The following is a 17,041-nucleotide window of genomic DNA, read 5'->3' on the forward strand; positions in this document are numbered from 1 at the left end:
TAAATATCCAAAGAGAGAAACGCAAATTTAACAGACTAATTTTCAAATTAGTACTTTATTTTTATAATACCTCTTATCATGACCATTCACCATTAAAGCATTAAAAGAGCATGCTCTTTTGAATCTGAGTGAAAATATGCAATTTCTCCTCTGTAAACATACCAAAACCTATCATCATATCTAGCAATTTAATAAAATGTTATGAAAATCTGTAACAAATACACTTCTTTGGCATTAATACAACTTGTAACTGGATGAGAAGAATTAAAAAGTAATACCATCAAAGGCAAAGCTCTACTAACTATTTAACAGGATGACTTAGAAATCTAATTATTCAACACATAGTTTTTTCCCCAGTTAAATGCTTTAAAAACTAGCCAAACTAATAAATCTTAAGAATTATTAGCAAGAAAATCATTTTTCTGAAATTCTTGCTGTTAAATTTAGTGTTTACAATTCAGTTTGAGGTAACTTTGAAGAAGTTTTGATTTCATTCCTTAGGATAAAGATTCTTTTTAGCACTTCTTATGTCAATAACTTATAATAGTGAATGGCTGAATCCAAATCTCATTTTACTTTTTATTTCTTTCCATGAGTAGGTAAATATGTTTACAAATATTTAAATATGCAAGTACTTTTCTACATATTAATATGTAGAGAACTATTATATATCTTTCTTGCAAAAAGATATGCTTCTGTCACATTATGAGTATATTCACATTAAAACAATAAAACTGGGCCAGGCACGGTGGCTCTAGCCTATAATCCCAACACTTTGGTAGGTGAGGCAGGAGGATTTATTGAGCCAGGATTTCAAGAGTAGCCTAGGCAACACAGTGAGACTCCATCTCTACAAAAAATAAAAGAATTAGCCAGGTGTGGTGACATGCACCTACATTGTGAACTCTGCTGTCCGCTGACACCTGGTCTCCTGTTCACACTGGACTGCAGGGATTCCCAGTGCCTTCCACAAGTTGCAAACACTGTAAGATACAGAATAACCCTCTAGGAAGGTGACCAAGCCCTGTCCTCTGAGCAAACCATTTCTAATACTCCAAACAAGTTTTCTAAGAGGGAAAAGTAACTACTTATTGAATTTATTGCATCTTCATATTACTGCAACAGTTTTCTTCAATTGAAATGGTGTCTTAGATCAACTTAAGAACAGTATGGTTTTCACAAAAAAGGAATACTCGTATATTATAAACACAGATTTTTATCTTTTTAAACTAGGAAGACTGCACCAATAGATATGAACTTTTCTGTTTGTAATAGATACACTATAGCAATATCTATATTGCATTCTTTAGCTATATACACAATTGTTTGCTTTCATGTGACTTTTTTCTAATAATTTCTCTTGCACTATATAGTAGTGACTCTCACACTGAACAGATAAGCTGTGTGTTTTATATAACACTGATTATTTCATTCCACATTTAGACAGATAAACCTGAACATCCAACTATGGGTTCACATGTAAACTTTCAGAAATTTTGTTATGTCTCATATAATAAATATAGAATTATGTCATAGTATTTAAAAACAATAGCCACCACTTCTACCAGCCCCCACCAGGGGAGAGCCTAAGGCTGTGAGTCTGTTGGAGTGTTGTCATGATTTGTTTTTTCTCCAGAAACAGAATGCTTCAGAAACTGACCAGTAGCACCGATGTACAATCTTGATCGCATGGGCCATTTCTGAAAAAGATTATTTCAACAAGAATTCAAAAGTTAGTATCTATGACATATATTAACATGGTCTACAATGTTAAAGATTGTAAATAGCCCAATGCAAATGCAATATTATGTAGCTAATAACAATTATAAGTATGAAGTATAAGAAACAACAAGAAAAAATGTTTATTAATGCTAACAGTAAAAAACAAAAATATACTCAGACTTTGATTAACATTTTAGAAGTAATATGTGTGCTTATGGACAAGAACTGCAAGAAATCATGAAAAATAAATATAGTTAAAGTGTAGAAAAATATATCTGCCCGTAATGTTTTAATTTTAAACTAAACCTAAAACAAAATTAAGACTAAAACTAGATCCTGGGCTTTAAAAATATTTTTAAAAGTTCCAATTTTAGTATATGTGCTGCTGAAGTGAGCACTATATTTTAAAAAGTTCTATGTGGTATTATGTGTCTATAGATGTAAAAGGACCACAATGAAAAGTGTCAACTATCTATCTATCTATCTATCTATCTATCTATCTATCTATCTATCTATCTATTTTTTTTGAGACGGAGTCTCGCTCTGTTACCCAGGCTGGAGTGCAGTGGCACAATCTCGGTTCACTGCAACCTCCATCTCCTGGGTTCAAGTGATTCTCCTGCCTCAGCCTCCTGAGTAGCTAGGATTATAGGAGCATACCACCAAGCCTGGCTAATTTTTGTATTTTTAGTAGAGACAGGGTATTACCACGCTGTCCACGTCGGTCTTGAACTCCTGACCTCAAGTGATCCACCCGCCTCAGCCTCCCAAAGTGCTGGGATTACAGGCGTGAGCTAAATCTTATCTAGCTAAAAAACGATATCTAGAAGTCATAAATATTAGAATATTTGGTATGATACTAAGAGAACATCCTGATTAAATGTCTGTATGTATTGACATCATCTAGCTCTTTTTTTTTCTTTTTTTTTTATTATACTTTAAGTTTTAGGGTACATGTGCACATTGTGCAGGTTAGTTACATACGTATACATGTGCCATGCTGGTGCGCTGCACCCACTAACTCGTCATCTAGCATTAGGTATATCTCCCAATGCTATCCCTCCCCCCTCCTCCCACCCCACCACAGTCCCCAGAGTGTGATATTCCCCTTCCTGGGTCCATGTGATCTCATTGTTCAATTCCCACCTATGAGTGAGAATATGCGGTGTTTGGTTTTTTGTTCTTGCGATAGTTTACTGAGAATGATGATTTCCAATTTCATCCATGTCCCTACAAAGGACATGAACTCATCATTTTTTATGGCTGCATAGTATTCCATGGTGTATATGTGACAAATTTTCTTAATCCAGTCTATCATTGTTGGACATTTGGGTTGGTTCCAAGTCTTTGCTATTGTGAATAATGCCGCAATAAACATACGTGTGCATGTCTCTTTATAGCAGCATGATTTATAATCCTTTGGGTATATACCCAGTAATGGGATGGCTGGGTCAAATGGTATTTCTAGTTCTAGATCCTTGAGGAATCGCCACACTGACTTCCCACAATGGTTGAACTAGTTTACAGTCCCACCAACAGTGTAAAAGTGTTCCTGTTTCTCCACATCCTCTCCAGCACCTGTTGTTTCCTGACTTTTTAATGATTGCCATTCTAACTGGTGTGAGATGGTATCTCATTGTGGTTTTGATTTGCATTTCTCTGATGGCCAGTGATGATGAGCATTTTTTCATGTGTTTTTTGGCTGCATAAATGTCTTCTTTTGAGAAGTGTCTGTTCATGTCCTTCGCCCACTTTTTGATGGGGTTGTTTGTTTTTTTCTTGTAAATTTGGTTGAGTTCATTGTAGATTCTGGATATTAGCCCTTTGTCAGATGAGTAGGTTGCGAAAATTTTCTCCCATTTTGTAGGTTGCCTGTTCACTCTGATGGTAGTTTCTTTTGCTGTGCAGAAGCTCTTTAGTTTAATTAGATCCCATTTGTCAATTTTGTCTTTTGTTGCCATTGCTTTTGGTGTTTTAGACATGAAGTCCTTGCCCATGCCTATGTCCTGAATGGTAATGCCTAGGTTTTCTTCTCGGGTTTTTATGGTTTTAGGTCTAACGTTTAAGTCTTTAATCCATCTTGAATTGATTTTTGTATAAGGTGTAAGGAAGGGATCCAGTTTCAGCTTTCTACATATGGCTAGCCAGTTTTCCCAGCACCATTTATTAAATAGGGAATCCTTTCCCCATTGCTTTTCTCAGGTTTGTCAAAGATCAGATAGTTGTAGATATGCGGCGTTATTTCTGAGGGCTCTGTTCTGTTCCATTGATCTATATCTCTGTACCATGCTGTTTTGGTTACTGTAGCCTTGTAGTATAGTTTGAAGTCAGGTAGTGTGATGCCTCCAGCTTTGTTCTTTTGGCTTAGGATTGCCTTGGCGATGCGGGCTCTTTTTTGGTTCCATATGAACTTTAAAGTAGTTTTTTCCAATTCTGTGAAGAAAGTCATTGGTAGCTTTATGGGGATGGCACTGAATCTGTAAATTACCTTGGGCAGTATGGCCATTTTCACGACATTGATTCTTCCTACCCATGAGCATGGAATGTTCTTCCATTTGTTTGTATCCTCTTTTATTTCATTGAGCAGTGGTTTGTAGTTCTCCTTGAAGAGGTCCTTCACATCCCTTGTAAGTTGGATTCCTAGGTATTTTATTCTCTTTGAAGCAATTGTGAATGGGAGTTCACTCATGATTTGGCTCTCTGTTTGTCTGCTGTTGGTGTATAAGAATGCTTGTGATTTTTGTACATTGATTTTGTATCCTGAGACTTTGCTGAAGTTGCTTATCAGCTTAAGGAGATTTTGGGCTGAGACAATGGGATTTTCTAGATATACAATCATGTCGTCTGCAAACAGGGACAATTTGACTTCCTCTTTTCCTAATTGAATACCCTTTATTTCCTTCTCCTGCCTAATTGCCCTGGCCAGAACTTCCAACACTATGTTGAATAGGAGTGGTGAGAGAGGGCATCCCTGTCTTGTGCCAGTTTTCAAAGGGAATGCTTCCAGTTTTTGCCCATTCAGTATGATATTGGCTGTGGGTTTGTCATAGATAGCTCTTATTATTTTGAAATATGTCCCATCAAGACCTAATTTATTGAGAGTTTTTAGCATGAAGGGTTGTTGAATTTTGTCAAAGGCCTTTTCTGCATCTATTGAGATAATCATGTGGTTTTTGTCTTTGGCTCTGTTTATATGCTGGATTACATTTATTGATTTGCGTATATTGAACCAGCCTTGCATCCCAGGGATGAAGCCCACTTGATCATGGTGGATAAGCTTTTTGATGTGCTGCTGGATTCGTTTTGCCAGTATTTTATTGAGGATTTTTGCATCAATGTTCATCAAGGATATTGGCTTCTAAAATTCTCTTTTTTGGTTGTGTCTCTGCCCGGCTTTGGTATCAGAATGATGCTGGCCTCATAAAATGAGTTAGGGAGGATTCCCTCTTTTTCTGTTGAGTAGAATAGTTTCAGAAGGAATGGTACCAGTTCCTCCTTGTACCTCTGGTAGAATTCGGCTGTGAATCCATCTGGTCCTGGACTCTTTTTGGTTGGTAAACTATTGATTATTGCCACACTTTCAGCTCCTGTTATTGGTCTATTCAGAGATTCAACTTCTTCCTGGTTTAGTCTTGGGAGAGTGTATGTGTCAAGGAATTTATCCATTTCTTCTAGATTTTCTAGTTTATTTGCGTAGAGGTGTTTGTAGTATTCTCTGATGGTAGTTTGTATTTCTGTGGGATCGGTGGTGATATCCCCTTTATCATTTTTTATTGTGTCTATTTGATTCTTCTCTCTTTTTTTCTTTATTAGTCTTGCTAGCAGTCTATCAATTTTGTTGATCCTTTCAAAAAACCAGCTCCTGGATTCATTAATTTTTTGAAGGGTTTTTTGTGTCTCTATTTCCTTCATTTCTGCTCTGATTTTAGTTATTTCTTGCCTTCTGCTAGCTTTTGAATGTGTTTGCTCTTGCTTTTCTAGTTCTTTTAATTGTGATGTTAGGATGTCAATTTTGGATCTTTCCTGCTTTCTCTTGTGGGCATTTAGTGCTATAAATTTCCCTCTACACACTGCTTTGAATGCGTCCCAGAGATTCTGGTATGTTGTGTCTTTGTTCTCGTTGGTTTCAAAGAACATCTTTATTTCTGCCTTCATTTCGTTATGTATCCAGTAGTCATTCAGGAGCAGGTTGTTCAGTTTCCATGTAGTTGAGCGGTTTTGAGTGAGATTCTTAATCCTGAGTTCTAGTTTGATTGCACTGTGGTCTGAGAGATAGTTTGTTATAATCTCTGTTCTTTTACATTTGCTGAGGAGAGCTTTACTTCCAAGTATGTGGTCAATTTTGGAATAGGTGTGGTGTGGTGCTGAAAAAAATGCATATTCTGTTGATTTGGGGTGGAGAGTTCTGTAGATGTCTATTAGGTCCGCTTGGAGCAGAGCTGAGTTCAATTCCTGGGTATCCTTGTTGACTTTCTGTCTCGTTGATCTGTCTAATGTTGACAGTGGGGTGTTAAAGTCTCCCATTATTAATGTGTGGGAGTCTAAGTCTCTTTGTAGGTCACTCAGGACTTGCTTTATGAATCTAGGTGCTCCTGTATTGGGCGCATATATATTTAGGATAGTTAGCTCTTCTTGTTGAATTGATCCCTTTACCATTATGTAATGGCCTTCTTTGTCTCTTTTGATCTTTGTTGGTTTAAAGTCTGTTTTATCAGAGACTAGGATTGCAACCCCTGCCTTTTTTTGTTTTCCATTTGCTTGGTAGATCTTCCTCCATCCTTTTATTTTGAGCCTATGTGTGTCTCTGCACGTGAGATGGGTTTCCTGAATACAGCACACTGATGGGTCTTGACTCTTTATCCAATTTGCCAGTCTGTGTCTTTTAATTGGAGCATTTAGTCCATTTACATTTAAAGTTAATATTGTTATGTGTGAATTTGATCCTGTCATTATGATGTTAGCTGGTGATTTTGCTCGTTAGTTGATGCAGTTTCTTCCTAGTCTCGATGATCTTTACATTTTGACATGATTTTGCAGCGGCTGGTACCGGTTGTTCCTTTCCATGTTTAGCGCTTCCTTCAGGAGCTCTTTTAGGGCGGGCCTGGTGGTGACAAAATCTCTCAGCATTTGCTTGTCTGTAAAGTATTTTATTTCTCCTTCACTTATGAAGCTTAGTTTGGCTGGATATGAAATTCTGGGTTGAAAATTCTTTTCTTTAAGAATGTTGAATATTGGCCCCCACTCTCTTCTGGCTTGTAAGGTTTCTGCCGAGAGATCCGCTGTTAGTCTGATGGGCTTCCCTTTGAGGGTAACCCGACCTTTCTCTCTGGCTGCCCTTAACATTTTTTCCTTCATTTCAACTTTGGTGAATCTGACAATTATGTGTCTTGGAGTTGCTCTTCTCGAGGAGTATCTTTGTGGCGTTCTCTGTATTTCCTGAATCTGAATGTTGGCCTGTCTTGCTAGATTGGGGAAGTTCTCCTGGATAATATCCTGCAGAGTGTTTTCCAACTTGGTTCCATTCTCCCCGTCACTTTCAGGTACACCAATCAGACATAGATTTGGTCTTTTCACATAGTCCCATATTTCTTGGAGGCTTTGCTCAGTTCTTTTTATTCTTTTTTCTCTAAACTTCCCTTCTCGCTTCATTTCATTCATTTCATCTTCCATTGCTGATACCCTTTCTTCCAGTTGATCGCATTGGCTCCTGAGGCTTCTGCATTCTTCACGTAGTTCTCGAGCCTTGGTTTTCAGCTCCATCAGCTCCTTTAAGCACTTCTCTGTATTGGTTATTCTAGTTATACATTCTTCTAAATTTTTTTCAAAGTTTTCAACTTCTTTGCCTTTGGTTTGAATGTCCTCCCATAGCTCGGAATAATTTGATCGTCTGAAGCCTTCTTCTCTCAGCTCGTCAAAGTCATTCTCCATCCAGCTTTGTTCCGTTGCTGGTGAGGAACTGCGTTCCTTTGGAGGAGGAGAGGTGCTCTGCATTTTAGAGTTTCCAGTATTTCTGTTCTGTTTTTCCCCATCTTTGTGGTTTTATCTACTTTTGGTCTTTGATGATGTGATGTACAGATGGGTTTTTGGTGTGGATGTCCTTTCTGTTTGTTAGTTTTCCTTCTAACAGACAGGACCCTCAGCTGCAGGTCTGTTGGAATACCCTGCCGTGTGAGGTGTCAGTGTGCCCCTGCTCGGGGGTGCCTCCCAGTTAGGCTGCTCGGGGGTCAGGGGTCAGGGACCCACTTGAGGAGGCAGTCTGCCCGTTCTCAGATCTCCAGCTGCGTGCTGGGAGAACCACTGCTCTCTTCAAAGCTGTCAGACAGGGACATTTGAGTCTGCAGAGGTTACTGCTGTCTTTTTGTTTGTCTGTGCCCTGCCCCCAGAGGTGGAGCCTACAGAGGCAGGCAGGCCTCCTTGAGCTGTGGTGGGCTCCACCCAGTTCGAGCTTCCAGGCTGCTTTGTTTACCTAAGCAAGCCTGGGCAATGGCGGGCGCCCCTCCCCCAGCCTCGCTGCCGCCTTGCAGTTTGATCTCAGACTGCTGTGCTAGCAATCAGTGAGACTCCGTGGGCGTAGGACCCTCCGAGCCAGGTGCGGGATATAATCTCGTGGTGTGCCGTTTTTTAAGCCGGTCCGAAAAGCGCAATATTCGGGTGGGAGTGACCCAATTTTCCAGGTGCGTCCGTCATCCCTTTCTTTGACTCGGAAAGGGAACTCCCTGACCCCTTGCGCTTCCCAAGTGAGGCAATGCCTCGCCCTGCCTTGGCTCGCACACGGTGCGCGCACCCACTGACCTGCGCCCACTGTCTGGCACTGCCTAGTGAGATGAACCCGGTACCTCAGATGGGAATGCAGAAATCACCCGTCTTCTGCGTCGCTCACGCTGGGAGCTGTATACCGGAGCTGTTCCTATTCGGCCATCTTGGCTCCTCCCCTCGACATCATCTAGCTCTAACCTTTTGGTAATCATCACATTTGAATTACTGATGGTGATTTTTCTAAATTCATCTTTATGGTGGGCAATCTCTCAAACAATATAATTTATTGCCAGACAGACATAATGATGAAAAAACATATTACATGAGTAGTTCTTTCAGAATAAAACTCTTTTGGGAGGGAGGCAGGTGTCATATAATCAGTTAAGTTCTAAGATCCTTGGAATACTACTTTTGTTTTTTTTTACTACAGAGAGGGACTAAAAAAAAAAAAAATACAACTCCTAAAGGTCAGCAATCTGGTCCCACACTCTCCAGGGAGCAAGTGCTGCCTTATGTAAGCAGGCTACTTATCTTCATCACGGAACACACACAGGCCAACTGCTAGTTACATAGCACCATAAAATGTTTTTAAATGCCTGGTAGATAATCCACAGTGCTCAAATAGAGGTACAATTATTAACATGCCAAAGAACATTAAGAGCTCTGGGTTCACAACCCAAGTTGCTAATATTAGACTCACCCAGAGAGCTTTAAATAAATACTGATGGCAAAGTCACACCCCAGACCAATTAAGTCAGAATGGACTATTACTTCTGTTACAGAGTTAATAGAATGTAAGCAGAGTTAGATCTTAGATGGAATAATATAAACTCTCATTGCACTTGTGAGCACAGTTATTTTCACCTAAACTGGGACTCCAAATGTAAAACATAGCCATAAAGAATAAGTGGGCATGTGATACTATCTGGAAAGTTTTGTTCTGTGGCAACCAACCAAAGTCCTAATTTTTATTTTTTTAAATTTATTTTATTATTATTTTTTTTTATGAGACAGGGTCTCATTCTGCTGCACAGGCTGGAGTGGTAGTGGTGTGATCATGGCTCACTGCAGCTTAAACCTGCTGGGTTCATGCAATCTTCCTGCCTCAGCTTCCTGAGTTAGGACTACAGGTGCGTGCTACCACGCTGGGCTAATTAAAAACTTGTTTGTTTGTTTGTTTGTTTGTTTTTACAGAGGCAGAGTCTCACTATGTTGCTTTGAGTTCAAGGGTGGTCTTGAACTCCTGGGCTCAAGTGAGCCTCCTGCCTCAGCCTCCCAAAGTGCTGGGATTACAGGTGGTGAGCCACCATGCCTGGACTCAATTTTTAAAAATAATACATATGCATTCCTATACATTCTAGGTGTATCATTGTCAGTGGTCCTGTTCCTGGGATCTTTGCCAAAGATAAACTAATGTGTTTTTTATTTTTATTTTTTTTGAGACAGAGTCTTGCTCTGTCACCCAGGCTGGAGTGCAGTGGCAGATCTTGGCTCACTGCAACCTCCACCTCCTGGGTTCAAGTGATTCTCCTGCCTGAGCCTCCCAAGTAGCTGGGATTACAGGCATGTGCCACCATGCCCGGCTAATTTTTGTATTTTTAGTAGAGATGGGGTTTTGCCATGTTGGCCAGGCTGGTCCCGAACTCCTGACCGCAAGTGACCCGCCCGCCTCAGCCTTCCAAAGTGCTGGGATTACAGTGTAAGCCACCACGCCCAGCCAAACTAATATGTTTTAGAAACTGGAGTGAGGTTTATCTGATATATCAAGATCTGGCATTGTTATATCAGATTAAAGTCCTTCATTATGCTGAAGACCCCAGTGCTGTAGTGTTACAGACTGAATGTTTGTGTCCTTCCAAAATGTACATGTTGAAGCTCTTACCTCTAAGGTGATGGGATTTAAAGACCAGGCCTTTGGGAGGTAAAAAGAGTTAGATTAGCTCATGAGGGACTAATACCCATTTAAGAAGAGGAGAATCGGGCCGGGGGCAGTGGCTCATGCCTGTAAGCCCAGCACTTTAGGAGACTGAGGCGGGCAGATTACAAGGTCAAGAGATCAAAACCATCCTGGGCAACATGGGAATCGCTTCAACCCAGGAGGCGGAGGTTGCAGTAAGTCCAGATCGCACCACTACACTCTAGCCTGACGACAGAGCAAGACTCCGTCTCAAAAAAAAAAAAAAAAAAAAAAAAAAAGGCTGGATGCAGTGGCTCATGTAATCCCAGTACTTTGGGAGGCCGAGGTGGGTGGATCACCTGAGGTCAGGAATTTAAGACCAGCCTGGCCAGCACGGTGAAACCCTGTCTCTACCAAAAATACAAATATTAGCTGGGCGTGGTGGTGGGCATCCATAATCCCAGCTACTTGGGAGGCTGAGGCAGAAGAATTGCTTGAACCCAGGAGGCGGAGGTTGCAGTGAGCCGAGATCACACCACTGCACTCCAGCTTAGGCAATAAGAGTGAAACTCCATATCAAAAAAAAAAAAAAAAAAAGAGGAATCTCTCTCTCTCTGTGTACATGTAGAGGCCAAGTGAGAACACAGAGAGAAGTGGGCCATCTACAAGCTAGCAAGATAGCCCTTCCGAGGAACTAAACCCTGCATCTTGATTTTGGATTTTCCAGTCTCCAGACTGTGGGAAAATAAATTTCTGTTGTTTAAAAGAGCCAGTCTGTGGTATTTTGTTATGGCAGACTAATACATATAGTGAATAGTGTAGCACAGATATCAACTTTAAGTGCATAATTTGTGGCTACATTATATACCAGTGCTTTGAAACCTTTTACCTGCCCCATTTTCATAAGCATAAAAATCTCATGCTCAAATGTCAAATGTAAATTGAGAATTATATGAACTAAATACACTTGAAAGCAAATAAAATTAAAATACTACTGAATGCTCTACTGGTGGTCCTCTTACATGCTATCCAGGTCCCACTGTGTTAAGAATTGCTAAAAAAAAAAAAAAAAAAAAAAAAAAAAAGAATTGCTCTAAATCATTCAGCCAAGTGTGGAGACAAATGAAGGCGTCTATTTCATCCTTGCTAGGATAAAATTAACGAAGCAAACCTAAAATTGTATATGTGAAATTGTGCCTCCTTTTTCATGGATTAATAAAATAAATATTCTTTTTTAAGAATATTGTGTCCTTGATTTTCAAAAAGGCTTGTAATGATTTTATTGAACTTAATTTAATGTAGACACACAGTTTTAAGAGTCTGAAATTAAAATGTACATAGAATATTGGTTAGGTTGCATGTCATCAGGATGCCAAAAAAGCCAGTTGACTGATTTACATTTTCTTTTCAACAGTTTGTTTCAGGATTGTGCAGATTAACACAATCCTTACTTAGCTCTACTTTCCCTCATAGGGTATCTTTAAAACCATTTACTGTAGTTTCATTAAGCTTAGAAAATTTAGCAAACTCATAATTAACTAGAACTGAACCTGAAACTGAAGACCTTAAAAATCCCAGCTCTTGGGAGGCTGAGGTGGGTGGATCATGAGGTCAGGAGATCAAGACCATCCTGGCCAACATGGTGAAACTCCATGTCTACTAAATACAAAAATTAGCCAGGTGTGGTATTGCACGCCTATAGTCCCAGCTACTCGGGAAGCTGAGGCAGGGGAATCACTTGAACATGGGAGACGGAGGTTGCAGTGAGCTGAGATCGCACCACTGCACTCTAGCTTGGGTGACAGAGAGAGACTCCATCTCAAACAACAACAACAAAAAAGCACTTAATTAAGTGACTCAAAAGTAACAAAACCCTGTTATCTATTTTTTTCAATTATTGTTTACCTATCATAGACAATGATTATTAAATAAGGGGCACAATAATAAAGTCATCTGTGTTTTTCTGCCAATGTAGAGATCTGAAATACACTCCTGTTTCTTAGCGAATCACTGCCTTTTGGGCAGCTGATGCTGATGGAAATAAATTGCTCATACCCCACAGGGATTAAAAACTGCCATTTCAGGCTATGCACCAGGTTCCCAGTCTCTTAAACTTCCAGTTTCATTTGAGATGTTTGTTTTCTTTTTTGAGACAGGGTCTTGCTCAGTTGCCCAGGCATGCAGTGGTGCAATGTAGCCACAATCTCTTGGGCTCAAGCAGTCCTCTCGCATAAGCCTCCCCAGTAGCTGGGACTACAGGTGCACACACCACAGCCACCTAATTTTTAAAATTCTTAGTAGAGAGGAAGTCTTGCTATGAAATGCTCTTAAAGTAAATCCCCAACAGTGGTAATGTGCTAACAATACTGATAATAAGGACTGATGATTCAAAATAATGGCCTTGAAATATTTGTTAAAAAGCTTTGATCATCAGGGTAAGACCTAACACTATGTTGTAAGGCAGAAAAATGAAGTCATTTTAGAACACTTTTTACAAACAATAGTTTATAATGAGCCTTTAGTTGACCATAAAAGTATAAATAGTTAGGATATTTTAATTTCTTTCGCATTAATCAAAGGTAGACAATGTTTAAACATTTTGGTAGTGTCTGTAAAATAATGTGTTAACAGTTAACAGGCGGTTTCAATTATGTACATAACATCTCTTTCCTCTGAACTTCCGTAGCACATAATTATAGTTCTTTTATGGAAAATATAACATTCTCACTTCCAACACTGTTATTTGTTTCTTTGTCTTTGTCTCAATAATATGTTCATATAGGAAAGGGACTGAGTCTTATTAATTGTGTTCACTCCCCTAAAATAGTGCTTTGCACATAGTAGGAATTCAATAAATGTTTGATTTTAAAACATGCTTGATTTTAGTCACTTGTTCAAGCAACATTAATTTCATTTAAAAAAATAATCCTTGGCTTTGGATCATTATCTCTAGAGTTGTCTTTTAAAATAAAAACAATCAATATTTACAAATAAAAACAGTTATGATTACAAAAACATTTGGTACATGAATCAAGTGCAAAAAGACGCTTGCTATGCTTATTATTACATGGAAATGATGCTTCCAACATTATTCATTCAAAAAAAGCATTCCAAGAAAATAAGTTGAAAAGCATCCTGACTTCTCATTCTGAATTATATCTCCCATAAAGTATTTAACAGATGCTCTTTGTATTACAATCTACTTCACATTAAAATAAACTTCCTTAGAGTATATGGCAAATGTCAAGTCAAAAGAAATTTAATATTAATGGTATATTCGAATAGCAATCTAATGAACACGGTAATACAAAACCCCTTAATAATGACTTTTCTGCTGAGATTATAAAACTTACAAATGAAATAAAGTCTATCGTAATTATAATGATATTTCATGTCTTCATATTTAATATTGAAATCATTTAAGTCTATCATTATGATTATATTTGCAAAGTAAATTTTGTTAAAACTTATCACAGAATTGTAAGTTCAGTTAATATCAGAGGGTGTGCTTTACCATATTAAATAATTTATTGAACACTGATATACTTAAAGCTAAGTCTTAAGTCTTAACTTTGCATTTGTGTGTGTGTGTGTGTGTGCGCGCGTGTGGCCAAATATTTCAGGGTGGTGGAGCCAAAACTGAAAATTTAGGTTTAGCAAGTAATGAGATGATGCATTTGGAACAGAAAAATCAGTGTAAGGTTTCAAAACAATCAAATCTAGAAGAGGAGGATGATGCAAAAACTGAATACTGCAGTAGGTAACGAAGCATAATCATATATACCATGTTAAGTGAAAACTGTGACCATTTTACCAATATGTAAAGAAATTACGCAAAATGGATTCTCTTGTCTAATTTTGTACATGAGACTTTGAATTTAGTAATCAATTCACTCAACATACATGCCAATCTATTACGAACGTATTTAAAAACACTAGTTTTTTCTAACACTTTTGGTAGCTGTCAAGTCTATGATATTTAACCTTTATTTAAACGGACAAATTTTACTCCATAGAGATGCAGAATGGTCTCATTTGTTCTTATTAGTTTTACCAAAAAATTTCAACAGTGTTTTCCTAGAATCACTTAGGGCCATTACTCCAGTGAAATCTTTCAAATATCCCATAAAAATCAATGAAAGCGTAATTATGTAAATAAAAGATGCTTAAAAACTCTCAGAGGGTCATACATATAACTCAGATATTAAACATTATCAGGATGTGCAACCAAGCCCCCATTTCTCACCTTGGTAGGCACAAAAATCCTTCGGAGGCATCCTGTAAGAGGCTTGCGAGACTCTTACCAAGCCACCCCGGCTTTAAACGCCTCTCCAGCCACCTGTGAACCGCGAAGGAGCCGGCTTTCGCGGCGGGGACCTTGCCACCAGTACCCTCGCGGGCCGAGGTCGTTCTCCCGGTCGGCTTCCCGCCTCACCCGAAAAGGAATTAGAGCATCTACCCAAGACGGTGACTGGCAGGGCAGATCAAGGTGTCCTGGTCTCGGCCCCAGCCCCGCGGTGCGCCCCGCCCGCTTACCTTGACCGGGTGCAGGTAGCCATCGCCGCGCAGGGCGCCCAACCCGGCGTCCGCCGGCGCCTCGGCGTCGTCCTGCAGGCTGCGGGTGAGATGCGCGATGTAGGTGGTGGCCAGCAGCAGCACGTCCAGCTTGGACAGCTTGGTGTCGGGCGGCACGGACGGCAGCGTGCGCTGCAGCTCCAGGAAAGCGTGCCGCAGGGTCTGCACCCGGCTGCGCTCCCGCGCCGCATTCGCCGCCGCCGGCCGCCCGCTCCCGGAACGCGAGCCGCCCCCAGGGCCCGCCGGCCCCGGCCCGGTCCGCCCGGGACGCGAGTCGCGGATGGCGGCGGCCAGGGGCGCGGGCTCGGCGCTGGCGCTGAGGGGGCTGCCCGCTGGGCGGCCGCGGTCCATGGCAGCTTCCCGCGCCGCGCGCGCTGCAAAGGACCGAAGGTGCGGTGAGGCCGGGGGGCGGTCGGGCTTAACCCGAGAGGCGCAGCCCCCTGGTTCTCCCCGTGCGCCCACCAGCAGCCCAACGGGGCTAAGGGCGCTCTCAAGCGAGCTCGTTTTGCCTGGGACGCGATTTGCTTCCGGACGTCTGGGGAGAGTTGCGGAACTCCGGAGTTCTTGGGCTTCCTAGAAGGATAAGAAGAGGCGCAGTGCCGGCTTTGCTTTTCAGGGGCAAATTAAGCAAAAGGTCTACTCTACCCGGGAAGAAAGATCTCGGAAGCACAGCTCAGGATCAGCACTCGTTCGCGCTTGGGTGACTTTATCCAACCCGGCACGCACGAGAGGTGGCGCGGCTCCTTCTCGCCGACGCCGCGGAAAACCACGGCTCACCAGCCGCCCTCGGCCTTTCACGCCAGGGGGGATTTCTGCCCGAGGAGCGGGGGACCCTTAGCCTCACCTCGGGGTACGGCACCCGCCACCGTTCCGAGCCCGAGAGCTGCGCAGTACGCGTCTGACGGGCCCCTCACCTTTCCTGGAGCGGCTGAGTGGAGCTCCGCTCCGTCGTGAGGGCGGGCGAGGGGCGTGGAGCAGGGCCTGTGTGGCCAGGGCCGCGCTGGTCACTCCATCCTCGTCCGGCCGATGCCCAAGTCGACGGCTGTTTCCAACCTCCGCTGGCTGTGACTTTTATGCGGGCGCCCCGCGGCCAGGCGTGTGTGCTCCGACCGGCTAAGGCAGGTCGGGCGGAGGACCTGGCCCACCGGAGAGGCTACGCCGGGGGCTGAGGCGGCTTAGAGGGTCATTAATCAAACCCTCCGGCGGGGCGGGCTCGGGGGCGGGGCGTCCTCCTGGCCCCGCCCCTCGGCTCACTGCCTCACGCTGCTTTCCCCGAGGCGCCTCGCTGAGGGCGGCGTGTGGAGAGTTTGGGGTGTCTGCCGCCGGCTGCGGTGGGGCCGGGCTGGAGGCCGCGGGTGAGGCCTGTGGTTAACCTCGCGCTGCCGAGGTCTTACCTCCTCGAGTCCAGTCTGATTCCAGGCCGCTTCCAGGCCGGTGCCCAGCTGAGGCGGGAACGCTGCAGTTTGGTTGAGCGTGACTTTTAGGCTCTGTGAGGAAAAGTCGAGCGCGCCACATCGAGGCGCTAGCCGTTTATTCTACCACAAGGTAAAAGATTCATGCTGTCCTAGTTACCCTAAAGCTGGGAGATACACTGCACTTCCTACCAGACCCCGAATGCTCTCAGTGTCTGTAATTCTTTAAGAAGTTCCTAGAGCAGACAGCCCTTGGATCGTGGGCACTTCTCCCCGGGGACGGGGACCCTGCTGACCGCCTCCGCTGCCCCCGCGGGGGCCACCGCTCTTTAATTATTTGGGCGAAACATTCTTTTCTGGTTTTGCACTTGTGGACTCACGGGAAGCGTGACTTGCAGCGAGGCAGGACCCGATCCCAGGCTTCTTTAGAAAGCGGACGCTGCGCCCCAAGGCCTGTTCAGAGCCGCCCCAGGAAGCCGTGGGTCCCCGACCGCCCCAAACCGCAGCGGTTTCTGCAGGTCCTGGACCCGTCGCCTTCGTAGGTGAAATCTAAGTACTTTTCAGCAACATAATTAGAACACACTCGAAACAATGCCTGCAGTTCTCCGAGTAGGACATTTTCTGTTTTTGTGTTTGAGACAGGGTCTCTGTCGCCCAGGCTGGAGTGCAGTGGTGCCAT

At 42.4% G+C, this 17,041-nt stretch overlaps 1 protein-coding gene across 1 annotated transcript, besides 3 other annotated features; it reads right to left on the reverse strand.

Annotated features, from left to right (window-relative positions):
* Positions 1 to 36: 36 nt before the first annotated feature.
* TCF24 (transcription factor 24) lies at positions 37 to 16,127 on the reverse strand. Its single transcript, NM_001193502.2, has 4 exons — positions 15,865 to 16,127; positions 15,413 to 15,523; positions 14,912 to 15,324; positions 37 to 1,700 (listed from the first exon to the last, which is right to left on the reverse strand). The coding sequence occupies exons 3-4, from the start codon at positions 15,299 to 15,301 to the stop codon at positions 1,587 to 1,589; spliced, it is 504 nt and encodes a 167-aa protein (NP_001180431.1). The 5' UTR covers positions 15,302 to 15,324; positions 15,413 to 15,523; positions 15,865 to 16,127; the 3' UTR covers positions 37 to 1,586.
* Positions 8,391 to 8,963: an enhancer, noted in NCBI's record as "H3K27ac-H3K4me1 hESC enhancer chr8:67867090-67867662 (GRCh37/hg19 assembly coordinates)". NCBI's record gives its function as "activates a minimal SCP1, AML or CMV promoter by ChIP-STARR-seq in primed H9 embryonic stem cells {active_cell/tissue: H9 hESC(primed)}" and the evidence as "EXISTENCE:reporter gene assay evidence [ECO:0000049][PMID:30033119]".
* Positions 16,108 to 16,157: a silencer, noted in NCBI's record as "silent region_19259". NCBI's record gives its function as "represses an Ori minimal core promoter by ATAC-STARR-seq in GM12878 lymphoblastoid cells {active_cell/tissue: GM12878}" and the evidence as "EXISTENCE:reporter gene assay evidence [ECO:0000049][PMID:35858748]".
* Positions 16,598 to 16,667: an enhancer, noted in NCBI's record as "active region_27493". NCBI's record gives its function as "activates an Ori minimal core promoter by ATAC-STARR-seq in GM12878 lymphoblastoid cells {active_cell/tissue: GM12878}" and the evidence as "EXISTENCE:reporter gene assay evidence [ECO:0000049][PMID:35858748]".

This window comes from Homo sapiens, chromosome 8, assembly GCF_000001405.40.
Source record: "Homo sapiens chromosome 8, GRCh38.p14 Primary Assembly".
NCBI classification, from domain to species: domain Eukaryota; kingdom Metazoa; phylum Chordata; class Mammalia; order Primates; family Hominidae; genus Homo; species Homo sapiens.

Bases quoted from the DNA above. Each gene is read 5' to 3' on its own strand.
- TCF24 (NM_001193502.2), bottom strand. From the start codon at position 15,301: ATGGACCGCGGCCGCCCAGCGGGCAGCCCCCTCAGCGCCAGCGCCGAG. The intron at 1,701-14,911 runs GTAAGCGGGCGG...AATCTTTTTCAG, and splicing joins GCTACCTGCACCCGGTCAAG to AAATGGCCCATGCGATCAAG.